The 14,795-nt window shown below is 35.8% G+C and overlaps 1 long non-coding RNA gene across 1 annotated transcript; it reads left to right on the top strand.

The window, feature by feature from the left end:
• The first annotated feature begins 376 nt into the window (after positions 1–376).
• LOC105374702 (uncharacterized) lies at positions 377–13,108 on the top strand. The gene is made up of 3 exons (XR_001742624.2): positions 377–536; positions 8,836–9,097; positions 13,074–13,108. It is a non-coding gene; the product is annotated as an uncharacterized LOC105374702 (long non-coding RNA).
• The last annotated feature ends 1,687 nt before the right edge of the window (positions 13,109–14,795 follow it).

The raw sequence follows: 14,795 nt of genomic DNA, 5'->3' as shown, positions 1-14,795 counted from the left end.
TTTTCTAGGAACTAAAATATAAATTTATTACCACAACCAAAACAAAAAACAAACTGCAAACTACACATATATATAATCATTAAATACGATAACTTCTACTTTTTAATATGACCATGGACTGCTAAAATGGCATAGTTTCCATGGGTCTAATAAAAAAAGTAATTGAGTAACATTTTATTATCAATTTTTTTGGAACATTGTGTATGGGCCAGGAACCTTTGCCAACTCTTTCATCAATGCATGAAGTTAAATAACTGTAACATTAAACATAATAAATTTCTGCCAGGAAACTACTAAACTTGTCTATCCTGATTCCTAGTTTACTCACTCCCAATAAAATAATATAGTTCAAAAATGCTAGTGTTATTCGCTCAATGCTTTTATTTAGTTTAGCTCTCTCTCTCTCTCTACCATCATATTTTCTTTATTTCTTTCTCTTTTAGAATTATGGATATCGCAAACATTGAGGAGATGCAAATTAGCGTATGTTGTCATCTACAATAAAGGAAGAAGATATGCAAAGGGTGCATTTTTAGGTGAGATGATAAAGAAATCTATCTCTGAAGAGGTACGAATTTGAGATGTGATTAAAGGTAAAAAAGAACATGTTGGAATATCTTAGAGAAAACCGTTTCCAGAAGTCTGAAGAACAAGTGCAAAGACCCTGCTGACAGATCACGCCTTATGTGTTTAAGGAGCAGCAAGATGTCTACTAGGTCTGGAGAAAAATAAACCAGTGGGAGAATTTAAGAGATGAGAAAACAAATTATGAAGGGCACAGTGGGTAACAGGAAGAATTTTAGCTTTTATTCCTGGTAGGCTGGAAGGCCAAGGAGGCATTTAGAAAGAGAGAGAGAAGATTGTCTGATTGGTATTTTTAAAAATGCAATCTAGTTGCTTTAAGAAAACGAATTATAATAAACCAGGAGTGGAAGACATTATTGCTCAAGCCTGCATGAGAGATCTTCTGTTTTGGAGTAGGGGGGTAGTATGTGATATATGAAGAAAGGATCAGATATAGAATTTTTTTTAATTAAAAAAATTGTTGGAGGGACTTAATTTAACTTAGGAATAATTGTTTTCTGTAGTCCAACAGAGGGTAATTTAAATTCATAGAGAATAGAAGATACACATCTGACCAGAAGTGCTGTAAGCCTAGGGTTATTCATCACTTAGACTCTATGGACACTAAGACACCTTGCCAAGAGCTCCAAGTATATTAATAAAAATATGGCATCAAGATTTTGTCTCATAAATTTCTAAACATTGGAGATCTACTATCAGGCCCAAGAGTATTAATAAAGGCAATCACACTTCAAGGTTAATAAGGTAACTTTATCATCCAGTGTTGAAATATGACATAGTTGTATAACGTTGGCTAATTTACCTAATATGTCTAATTATGAGTTTTCTCTAGTCCGAGAACCAAAGCTCCTACATACAACTGCAATCTCTCTAATACCCTGAATTCTCTGCACAATTCTATTAAATTAATGGCATATCATAATGCATTAAACTCTGGTATCTTTATTCTGTTTTACATTCCTAGAAAGCTTCTTTTCAGCCCACGCTTTGTATTGACCGAGCTAACTCCTAATAATCCTTAAAGTCATAATTTATTTTACCTCATCAAGCTAGCCGTACCTCTGTTTGAATGTACTGATGTTTTCAATTATATAATGTTTGCTAAATGAATTGACACTGTTTATTCAATTAATATTTTTATCTCAAGGTTTTTGAGCTAATTACTTCTTTCTTTTTTTTCAATAATTTCAGCTTTTATTTTAGATTCAGGGGCACATGTACAGATGTGTTACTTGTGTGTTTCCAGAAATTCATCCATTTCCTCTAGATTTTCTAGTTTTTCTCCATAGAGGAGTTCATATTAGTCTCTGAAGATCTTTTTTGTATTTCTGTAGGATCAGTTATAATGTCACCTTTGTCATTTCTGATTGCTCTTATTTGGGTTTTCTTTTTTGTTTTCTTTGTTAATCTAGCTGTCGCTGTCAATCTTGTATATACTTTTAAAGTATCACGTTTGATTTCATTGATTCTTTGTGTGAATTTTTGGGTTTCAATTTTTGTTCATGTCTACTCAGATCTTACTTATCTCTTTCCTTCTGCTACATTTGGGGTAAGTTTGGTTGTTTACCTTCTGTAGGTGTAATGTTAGATTATTAATTTGAGAGCTTTCCAACTTTTTAAGGAAGGCATTTAGCATGACAAACTTTTCTGTTAATACTAATTACCCTGCCTCCTAGAGATTTGGTATGTTGTGTTCCTGTTTTTATTTATTTCCAAGAATGTATTGATTTCTGCCTCAATTTCATTGTTTGCCAAAAGCCATTTAGGGGCAAGTTGTTTAATGTTCAAGTTATTGCATGATTTTTCAGAGATATCTTTGGTATTGATTTCTATATTTATTCCACCATGATCTGAGAGAATGGTTGGTGAAATTTTTATTTTTTAATCTATTGAGCCTTGCTTAATGGTTGAGCATGTGGTTGATCTTAGTGTAGGCTCTGTGTGTAGATGAGAAGAATGTGTATTCTGTGGTGGTTGGATGGTGTATTCTGTACATATCTAGTAGATCCAGTTGGTCAAGAGTTGGATTTAAGTCCAGATTTTTTTTGTTAGTTTTCTGCCTCAGTGATCTAACACTGTCACTGTGGTTGTACAGTTCCCCACTGTTATTGCGTGGTAGTCTAAGTCTTTTCAAAGGACTAGAATTACTTGTTTTATAAATTTTAGTGCTTCAATATTGGTTGCGTTATATTTAGGATAATTAAGTCTTTTGTTGAATTGAACCAGTTATTATTATGTGATGTCCTTCTTTGTCCTTTTTTACCATTGTTGGTTTCTTTAAATTCTGTTTTATCTGATGTAAGAATAGTGATCTCGCTCTTTTTTGTTTTCCATTTGCATGGCAGACTTTCTCCAACCTTTACTTTGAGCCCATGGGTGTCATTACGTGGGAGAGGGGACTCTTGAAAACAGCAGATGGATGGGTCTTATGATTTTAATTTAACTTGCCACTCTATGCCTTTTAAGTGGGGGGTGTTTAGACCATTTAAATTCAAGATTAATATTAATATATGAGGTTGTGATCATATTATGAAGTTATTAGTTGGTCACTTTGTAGTTTCTATTGTTTGGTTGCTTTGTAGGGTCTGTGGGTATGTATTTCAGTATATTTTTGTGGTAGCAGGTATCATTCTTTCCTTTCCACATTTAGAACTTCCTTAAGAATATCTTGTAAGATTGATCTAGTGGTAATGAATTCACTTAGTGCTTACTTGCCTGGGAAAGATTATTATCTCCTTCACTTACGAAGCTTAGTTTGGTAGGATATAATATTCTTGGTTAGAATTGCTTTTCTTTATGAATGTTGAAAATAAGACCATAATCTTGCCTGGCTTGTAATTTTTCTGCTGAGACATCTGCCGTTAGCCTTAGGGGTACCCTTTGAATATTATTTAACCTTTTTCTCTAGCTGTGTTTAATTTATTTTTCTTTAGCATTGACCTTGGACAGTCTAGTGACTATATATGTCTTGATGAAGTTTGTTTTTATAGTATCTCACAGGTGTTCTCTAGATTTCTTGTATCTGGATGTTTACCTCTCTAGCAAAATTAGGAAAATGTTCTTAATTTTCTTGAATTATTTCCTCAAATATGTTTTCCAGGATGTTTTCTTTTTCTTCGTCTTTCTTAGGAATGTTAATTAATTGGTAGGTTTGACCACTTTACAGAATCCCATATTTTCTGAAGACTGTGTTCATTTTTAAAAATTATTTTTATTTCTGTCTGACTGATTTATTTTGAATGATTGCTCTGAATGCTCGGAAATTCTTTCCTCTACATGGTCCAGGCTATTGATAAAGCTGTCAATTATATTTTGGAATTCCTTAAGTGAGTTGTTCAGTTCCATAAGCTCTAGTTGATTTACTATTAAGATGTTTATCTTTTCCTCCATTATCTGGATTGCTATAGAAGTTTTTTTAATGTTGATTTTCAACCTTTCCTTTGACTTCATCGAGCTTTCTTGCAATCCACAGTTTGAATTCTTTATCTGTCATTTCTGAGTTCTATTTTGGTCAGGGATCATTGCTGGAGAACTAGTGTGATCCTCCGGTGTTGTCACTACATTCATATTCTTCATGGTGCTGGAATTCTTGTTCTGGTTCCTTCTCATCTGGAGATGCTGACACTTCTAATTTTTGCAATAATTTTTATGTTGAGTAGAATTTTTCTTTCTTTCCCTTCATTATTTATTTTCTTCTTTTCCTACCTGGTTTTCCCTCTCCTTAGGGTGTTTGACTACAGAGAAAGCTGGGTATGATCTTTTGGCTTTGCTTCTACAACCTGTGTGCTTCTGTCAGTAGGATTTATAATGATCTCTGCAGTTAGATTGGGCTTATGGTAAGAGTCCTGTTACCAACAAGGCTGGGTATATACCTGATCCTTGTTTACTGGGAGAAACTCTCTGTGAACTCAGGCTGATTCATGGAGTGCACAGTGGTTTGAGGGCCCTTCTCAGCCCTGGGGATATGGGGCAAGTTGAGCAGGGCCAGACGGCATATATTTGCCTACAGGTCCCTTGATGGCAAACACAAGCATGAGCATTGAGGGAGAATTCAGTAAGTGACCACCAAGTGACCACAGGTGAGTCTAGGTGTAGAGTTGGAAAACCTCCTCAGCCCCAAGTTATCTGCATGGCGACAGGGGTGGCCTATATTCTTAATACAGGAGAGTGGGTTCTCCAAATGTCTGGAGATCTGCCCGGGTATGGGGCAGAGAGGGCCCCACCTGCACTTGAAACTCTGCATAGGAATGGTGGAGTGTTAATATGGGCAAGCACGTACTTTGAATGCCTGGAGATCTGCTTGGGCTTTGAGCAGAGGGCTCCGCTGCACCATGATCTATGCACAGGAAAGGTGGTGCTGTTCTGGTTGCTGATCATGTGAGCAGATGCTTCAAATGCCTGGAGTTCTGCCTGGTCAGGAAGTGGAGAGGGACCCCCTGACCCAGGATCTATGCCCAGGAAGGGTGGCATGGCTTAGGCTGCTGAACCAGGTGAGCAGGTTCTCTGAATGCCTGGAGATCTGCCCTGGCATGAAGCACAGAGTGCCCTGCTGCACCATGATTTGTGTCCATGAAAGGTGGGGTGGCTCAGGCTACTGTTCCATGCAAGCAGGTGATTCTAATGCCTGGATTTCTGTCTGTAGGTAGAGCAGAAGAGCACCACAATCTTAAGGGAGTAGACCTGTTCCAGGTTTCCAAGCTGGCCTTGGCTGCAATTCTCATTGCCCAGGAGAAACTGCAGCTGTAGCAGCTCTTTTCCCACCTCAGGCCCATGGAAGGGGCAAGCACAATTCCAACACTCACTAATGATGCATTTTCTGGAGTTCTGGCTGTGAAAACACCTATACCACTCCAGAGCAGGCACTCCAATCTCTGGCAAAAGACTAAAACGGCTGCATGCTCACTCTGCTGGGTCACCAAAGAATGGCTGACTTTGTGTGAACCCACATTAAAAATGGCATTCTGCTCTGGGTCCTGAGTCTCAGAAAATGTCTGCAGCTTTTTCTGATGTCTTTCCCTTATGACACCTCCAACCCTTTCCTTAAGTTAGCCATAGGGATTAGGAGAAACAAAGTGCTGTTCCTTGGCCTGAGTTACTAGGATCCCCTGTGGAAAGGTAAGTCACAGAGGAAAGCTATCTGCCTCTCTCACATACAGGAGCTTCAGTCACTTTTATCATCTGGAAGTCACCATGGGGGCTATTTGCCTGCATTCTTCTCCCTGGGACCTTGGGTATCCTTCATGATTCTGGCAGATTCCCATTTTTTTTCTTGAATTAAAGCTCACAGAGTTTATCTTTATGCCCTATTTTGCTATTTCCAAGTGGTGAAGGCACACTAAAAGCCTCTAATCTGCCATCTTGGAGAAAAGTACAAATTACTTCTTTCATATTACAGGTAAAGAATCTTCCTTACTCTGAGTATAAATAAGTTGTCAAATATCACAAAATGATAGGATGTAAATCCAGTCCTTGGCCACATTGAAGATAATCTGAGATTTCATTAGACAACAGGTCATTTCCAATAAAGTGACAGCTATAGTTTCTGCAATTAGTGCACCTTAAAGCAAGTGTTCTTAGTATGTTAGTTCCTAGTTGTCTCCTTCTTAATCATTTTCCCTTATCTCAGATACCATTAGCAATACAGATCATTTGAGTCTTAACTCTTGCCATTGGCTTAGACTATCTACTTGCAGCTTACACTGGTAGTTTACCTCACCCTTTCATACAGTTATGAAATTGAGTTTCTTAACCTCAAATCCAGATGCCTGTTACATCATATACTTGGTACTTGTGAGGACTTCTGGATTTTTTCTAAACCACATAAGAGGAGAGGGATAGTGTGAGGAGTGCTATGTTTGATCGCTTGTCCTAAATATGCTACATCACTTCCTAGACGTGGTATACAGCCAGTTCTAGTGATTCACTTCTATACATACTAAGCCATTATTTTAAGCATAGTTTCTTTTCTAACACACACAATATACCTATTGGCTCATTGTCTCTCTCAAGGGGTTCAAAAGGCAGGTAGAGAAGGCATACAGTCTTCCTTGATATTTCACCTTAATCTACATGATGTATCAGTACTTCATTACTTCCTTTCCACTGATACTCATCTCTGCTGTGTGGGACCTGGTTTTCTCACAAAATAATGATGATGATAATAATAAGCAGAATTTATCTATGCCTCAATTCTCACTTTTATTCCTCCCTATAAAAATGGTTACTTTTATTTCTTTTATTTATGGTGCAAATGATGCAGGATTTTTTGCTCCTTAGTTTAGCTAAAATCTTCATTCTTGTCTTCATGACCAGGAAAAATTAGACACATGGACATGTTGAAAGGTTAGGAGAACAGAATTTATTAAAAGAAAGTGCTCAGCAAAAAAAAGAGGGGGTCCTGCCAACAGCCTCCCACCTCACAGATTGAATACCAGGCCACCACCCAGGAGCTCAACAGGCCAGGCTCCTCCCCACTGCATAAGGTGCGAATTCCCGGTGGCTCCACGCCCTTCTCCCACTGCACAGGTGGGCTTTTAGTCTGAGCCACTCCACATTGATTGCTTTCCCTTACCGCACATGTGTTAAGAGATTGAATTTTTCACAACGGGCATGCTTAAGCAAGCCCCCTGTGCACAATGACCTGGGCGGCATTTGGCTTTCTCCTGTCTCTATCACAACTATCATAACCTTCCCTAGAGCACTAAGATCCAAGGTCTAAATATCTGGGAAATAAAACCACAACATTTCCAACAGAAAAACATAGGTTTAAGGGTATTTCAATTTTTGTTAATATTATTAATACAAATTATATTTTAAAAAACCCTAATCATTGTAAAAATAAAAATTGCCATTTTTGAGAGCTTATTTTTAGCAATACTCTAGTAGAATTCATATATGTCTTATCTTTATTCTCAGATAAAAACATTGAATCTTAAACATTCTTAGAAAATGTGTGGCAAAATGTGACGTAATACTCGTTTCACTAGGGGAGCTAACACCAAAGTTTATGCACCTATCAGCTATTAAAAATAGAGGCCACTATGGTATACAACACACACACATACACACACAATGCACACACATATGCATACATGCAAACACATAAAAGAAGAAAGGATTGTTTCCAAGGCTTAATGGGCAAATATTTTATTTTATTTATTTATTTATTTGAGACGATCTCACTCTGTCAACTAGGCTGGAGTGCAGTGGTGCCACCATAATTCACTGCAGCCTCAAACTCCTAGGCTTAAGTTATCCTTCCACCTCAGCCTCCTGAGTAGCTGGGACCACAACAGGTGCACCCTGTCCCCTCCCAGCTATTTTTAATTTTTTTTTTTTTTTTTGTAGAGATGGGTTCTGTTGCCAAGGCTGGTTTCAAATTTCTGGACTCAAGTGATCCTCCTGCCTTGGCCTTCTAAAGTTGTTGGGATTAGAGGCATGAGCCACCATTCTTAGCCATCAGATGTTTTAAATTATGGTGATAGTTAAAGTAGAATTTGAAAGAGGTTTTTATCATTCCACAATTGGTTTTAAATATTTGGCTAATAGTAATACAATTTTTTTTCCTTATGTCATTTCTTTTCTGTTGAAGCTTTGCAAGTACTTTAATTTTTAATGTAATTTAGAGTTGATCTGAGTTATATCTATTTTAATTTTCTATTTTGCTATTTTTATTGAAATTTCTTGGGTTAAAAACAAAAAAATAGCATTACATCTAATATGCTGGGATTTTATATAAACAAAATCTTGCAATGCTCACAGACAGAAAATTATAGGACATGTGTTTCTGTAATAAAAGTGATTTCTAGTGAGTGTTGTAGAAAAAACAAAGAAAATATAATAAACCAAGCATTGAAAGGTGATCAACAGAGTCTGAAAGTCTGAAGGGTGGTTTGCAGGGGAACAGAGAAATAGGAACATAGCTAAAAAGAGTCCTTTTTTTTTTTTTTGCTTTTCCATTGAGATAAATATATGTTTTCTTTATAAGATGGACAAAATAGAGTTTGTTTATATCCTAAACATATCTGTATAGTGAAGAAATGAAACCATACATATAATAAAGATAGAATAAATAAATGTGAAAAGTAAATGAGTAGAAATAGCCTTGTACTTTTATGGTGATTTCAACAAATATATTCAAATTAATATTGTATTATATTTTAATGTTGGTTTATCCTACCAGCATATAAACTGAATTATGGCAAGATCGATATATTCATCTCAAACTTATATTTTCATATTTTGGTACAGTAGCCAATGCTTGCTGAAGAAATTTACATAAGGTTTGTGAAGAAATGCTTGCTGAAGAAATTTACGTAAGGTTTGTGAAGAAATGCAAAGCGTTAAGAGCCATAAATTGGATGGATATGGATCCTAGACAGAGAGGATACCCTTTTACACTAAATCTGGCAATCAAGATGGGGAGAGTTCAAGTAATTAAGGATTGTGATCGGTCTACCCACATGTTAGGCATTTCAAGCCTGTTTGCACCATTTTCCCTGAAACTTAAAAGGTAAGAATTCCATTGAGGGAGACTGTGAAGTCGCAAGGGTAATGCAATTTAGTGATGAAATTTAATTGTTTTAAGCATTTATAAATTATAAACAATGTAAAGTTGAGTCCAACACACAGAAACTTCTGTGAAAAATAATATGTGCCATTCACATCAAATTGTGCCAATATTAAGGATATTATGAGTGGATTGTTCTTAGCTTTCACAGGAATTATTTATTTGCTAAACATCCTTGTCACAGTGAATTGTTACAATGTACTCATATAACTGTCCTCCAGAATGGACTAGATGTTTCTCCAAAACAGAGGCCACTTTCTTGTCTATAAATCAGCAACCTTAAAAAATTAAAATTAGAACTACCATATGATTCACACATCTGGGTGTATATAAAAGTATTGCAATAAGGATCTCAATGAAAAATCTGCACTCCCATATTCACTGAAGCACTATTTACAAGAGCCAAGATTTGGAAACAACTTAAATGTCTATTGATGGATGGATGAATAAAGAAAATGTGGTATATACATGCAATGAAATATTATTCAGCCTTATAAAAAGAAGAAAATCTTGCCATTTGCAACAATGTAGATGAACCTGGAGGATATTATGCTTAGTTCATTTAGTTACTTGATAAGGCAAGGAAAGAAGGAAAAATACTACATAATTCCATTTATATGATGTATTTAAAATAGTCATAGTAACAGAGTAGAATGTGGTTGTTAAGTGTTAGGAGGAGGGGGAAATAAGGAGTTGCTGTTCAATAGGTATAAATTTTCTGTTATGCAGTGGGAATGATTTCTAGAGATTTTCTGTACAATGCTGTTCAAATACACTTACAAATTGGTTAAAAGGGTAGATCTTACAGTAAGTTTTCTTACCACAATATAAAAATGAAAAGAAGAAATAATACATATATGTACAAAAATATTGTGGGAAGTTACTCGAAAATCTATTAATAGTGATCGCCCCTGCAGAGTCCGAGTGGGTGGCTAGGAGAAATTGAAAGTGAAATTCTATTGTTTGAAAGTTTCTTTACTATCAGATTTTTCCCCTTTGCAAATGTATAGGCTTTATAACTTGTCTTTCTTTTCTTTTTTTTTTTTTTTTTTTTTTTTGAGACAGAGTTTCGCTCTTGTTGTCCAGAGGCTGGAGTGCAATGACGTGATCTTGGCTCACTGCAACCTCCCAGGTTCAAGCGATTCTTCTGCCTCAGCCTCCTAAGTAGCTGGGATTACAGGCGCCTCCCACCATGCCTAGCTAATTTTTTGTATTTTTAGTAGAGACAGGGTTTCACTATGTTGGTCTCGAACTCCTGACCTCATGTGATCCACCTGCCTTGGACTCCCAACGTGCTGGGATTACAGGCATGAGCCACCGCTCCTGGCCTAAAATTTGCCTTTTACAAAAACTCAACAAAAGATCATCTCAACTAAGGCATACTAAATAATATTTAAGACACAAACTTACAGGCTAAAAAAAATAAACCTGCCATAGTAACAAACACACACTCAGGAATTACCTACACGATAAACATTTTAAATTGCTAAACCAAATAGAAGGAAACACAAATAACATTGTAAAGTTTGATAGGTACTAGATGGTATTCAAATGACCTCAAATATCTAAAGTAAGATGCAAGAGTGTACCTCTTTCAGTTTCCCAATTAGTTATTTGTTTTAGATTAAACAATAGTGTAATGCATCAATTCCTTGGGTAATTTACCGATTGGAATTCCTAGTGTCATCCTTGAGACACAAGCAAAAAAACTCAACAATATTATCCACGTGAAATGGGACCTCTAAACTGTCCTGTTTTGTTACAGCCTCTAATGAGCCAAAATAGTATAAGAATCTTGAAGATTAAGAATTTCTGTAGTGCTCTACTTGCCTGAAATTTGGGGTGCTAAGCATTAAAAAAATGCAATTTTAGTGTGTTATACTTGCGGACATTAAACACTATGTGTAAAGGTTGAGAATTTCTACCATAAAATACATAGATCCTCTGGATGTAAATCTTGTATATGACACAAACTAGATGTTAGACCCTAAAAAAGATGTTCAGATTCTCCATGTGTCAGTCTCTTCATTTTAAAGAATCTAAAATACGAAGAATAAAACAATGTAGGGAAAGTCTTTAGAATAATGAAATTTACTTGATAAGCATTCAATAAATATTTGCTATTATTACTGATGGTTAATATTGTCAACTTGATTGGATTGAAGGATACAAAGTATTGATACTAGGTGTGTCTGTGAGGATGTTGCTAAAGGAGATTAACATTTGAGTCAGTGAGCTGGGAAAGGCAGACCCACCCTTAATCTGGTGGGCATAATCTAATCAACTGCCAACGTGGCTACAATATAAGCAGGCAGAAGAATGTGAAAAGAGAGACTAGCCTAGCTTCCCAGCCGACATCTTTCTCCTGTGCTGGATGCTTCCTGCCCTGGAACATCAGACTCCAAGTTCTTCAGTTTTGGAACTCAGACTGGCTCTCCTTGCTCCTCAGCCTGCAGACGGCCTATTGTGGGACCTTGTGATCCTATGAGTTAATACTTAATACATTCATTCATATATATATATATATATATATATATATCTGCATTCCATTAGTTCTGTTCCTCTAGAGAACCCTGACTAATACAATTACTATTAATGGAGACTAAGTTATGTCAACTTATCAACTTGATAAAATGTCCAACTTAATTATTTAGAGCAAAAATGAGAGAAAGAGGTGATAAAGGTATTGTAAATGTCATTAATAGAATAAATATTCAGCATGTTGTACAAAAATTTTAAATTTAAGTACATGGGCTTATTGAAAAATAATGTATTTTTTCTTATGCATCTACTTATAAAAATGCTACATGATTTAATATGTGCTGACTGACATTAAGGTAACTTTTTCTTCACTATACATTTGAAAATTGTATTGTTTCACGAATTTCACTACAAAATGCTCAACTTAATGGTAACTTGACAGTATTATATAAAGTCTATGGTTATAACTTGGATTGTGTCTTCAATGCTATTTTATGGTTTGAAAGTCCAGGAAAACAGTGTGATTAACTTTCTGAGGCTCCAGGAGTGGCAGAAGTTTGTCAGCTTCTTTTCTTCTTATTTTTTAGCTTTCAGGACATCTCCATATGGCTAGGTTTTTCACTACCCTAGTGAAACTAGCCTCCCAGCGATATCAAGACAAATTTCTCTTGAGCAATTTCAAGAGAATAGCACTCGTCTTTTTTCATGTTATAGACTACCAACTCAAGTCCACATTTTTTAGCTGAGAGATTTGTATTACCCCTTATGTTTGGCCCACGGAATGATCTCAACTCAAGAAAATATGTTTATACCCTATATATAGGCAGTGACCCTGTCTCCAAAATAAATCCAAATAAATATATTAGTCCTACAATAAATTTAATATATTTTATGTTAGAATTATGTGGACAGACATACCACAGTTATTACTAATACTTTCTGCTTTTATATCTGGAATAGCGGCCAGTTTCTAAAATTATCTACCAAGCAATGTAGAAGACCCCTGATAGAAAGCGGTGACAGTATTTTAGTTTTGATGCTTAGCATATTACAAATGTTCAATACATATATTACGTAGAAAGGATTATTTAGAAGTTATATTACTAAATGATTTCCAAAGGCTATCATTATTTAGATAATTTTACATCATTTTCTACTGCATGAAATAACTATTTTACAAATTTCTCAGACAGCTCTAATAACATATGATATAGCCAAATCCATGGCACTTCTGCAGAATTATACTTCTCCACATGTTGATTCTTTTTTTATTTTTTTACCATTTAAAAATAGAAGATTGCCTTTGAAGTTTTCCTTAAATGGGCTTTGAAATTTGTGTTGGCTAAAATTCACTAATAATATTACCTTGGTATATGATAAACATAAATTTTGCAGGTTTCATCCACATAACTTATGAGTAAATTATTTTGTTTTTAAGATGGGATCTTCCTCTGTCACCCAGGCCGGAGTACAGTGGCTCAATAATAGAAGATAGCTCACTGCAGGCTTGAACTCCTGGGCTCAGCAATCCTGCTGCCTCGGTTCCTGAGTAGCTGGGACTATAGGCATGTGCCACCATGCCTAGCTAATTTTTTAATTTTTATTTTTATTGTAGAAATTGGGTTTTGATATGTTGCAAAGGCTGATTTTGAACTCATGGCTTCAAGTGATCCTCTTGCCTCAGCCTCCCAAAGTTCTAGGATTATAGGCATTAGCTGCTGCATCTAGCTTGAATTGAAATTTTTAAGAGAAGGGCCTATAGATCTGATGCTTAAGAAGTAAATTTAGGTTATTTTTATAATTATACCATTATTTAAGTGTATTAAATGCTAATTAAATTTGTTTTGCTTGTATTTGTTCATATTGAAAAACTTGGCTAAAGTTTATTGCAGAAAGATAGCCTTGTATTACCTTGATAATATACTCAGATTTTATGTGTTTCATATACGATTTTCTTCTATATGGTTTGTTTCTGTGATGTAAGTTATTATAATGGGTAAACACTTTACTTTTCATTCTTGTTATTAGTTCTTTCATAAAATGTCTACGTATATACATTAGAGAATATCAAAAATAGCTTTCAGTTTGGCACTTAAATTTATATGTTTCTATTGCAAATCTTTCCCAATTCTGTTACTAAAATATAACCAAATGTTAAGAATTCAAGTATTTTAGAATTACTTTTCTTTGTAAGTAAATTACATATCCATGTGTTATAGGTTGAATTGTGTCCACCCAAAAAAGATATGTTGAAGTTCTAATGCCAGTACCTCAGAATGTGACTATGTAAAAACAGTGTCTTTACATAGGAAATCAAATTATTTAAAAAAATGATGTCATTTGATGCTTTCTGACTAAGAAGGCCTTAGCAGTTCTCAGTTTGGGTAAACTTTAGACAAGTTTCTTCCTGACTCTAGGCCCCTGGAATCCCTTTCTTAGATTTACTTAGAAAACTTGTTATTGTAATTTTTTTCGCCTGTCCTTTGGGATGTAAATCTTCTCCCAGCTTCTTGCCAGTTTTCTACCCCAGGAATGTCTTTCTCAAGGACCCAGGAACCATCTCTTTAAAATATAATTATCAAAAAGGATAACGCCCCTATTTCCCAGTCTCTGTGGAAGTGAGGGGCCCAACTTCAATAAACACCAATTAGCAAATACAGATGGTCTAATTACTATAACTAACCTTCCCTGTAATGTCTTACAGTACTTTTCCACTAGCTCACCCCAGGGCCTGAAAACTCTTGCCATTTATTTCTGCATGATTGAGTCCAATTTGTCCCCTATTACCACAGTCTTGACCTCTTTTGCAATAGCCTTTGAAAAAACTCTACCTTAACCTCACCTGTTTAATTTGCTAGGTGCAATTTCTATTTGACAACTTCAATCTAATATGACCGCTGTTCCTTATAAGGGGAAAATCTGGACATAGAGACAGACATGCATGTAGGGAAAATGCCATGTTAAGATGAAGGCAGAGGCCAGGCACAGTGGCTCACACTTGTAATCCCAGCGCTTTGGGAGGCCGAGGCAGGCAGATTATGAGGTCCGGAGTTTGGGACTAGCCTGGCCAACATGGCGAAAACCAATCTCTACTAAAAATACAAAAAATTAGTCTGGTGTAGTGGCACGCGCCTATAATCCCAGCTACTCAGGAGGCTGA

This window comes from Homo sapiens, chromosome 5, assembly GCF_000001405.40.
Source record: "Homo sapiens chromosome 5, GRCh38.p14 Primary Assembly".
Taxonomy (NCBI): Eukaryota; Metazoa; Chordata; class Mammalia; order Primates; family Hominidae; genus Homo; species Homo sapiens.
This window is presented reverse-complemented; position numbering and strand designations above follow the sequence as displayed.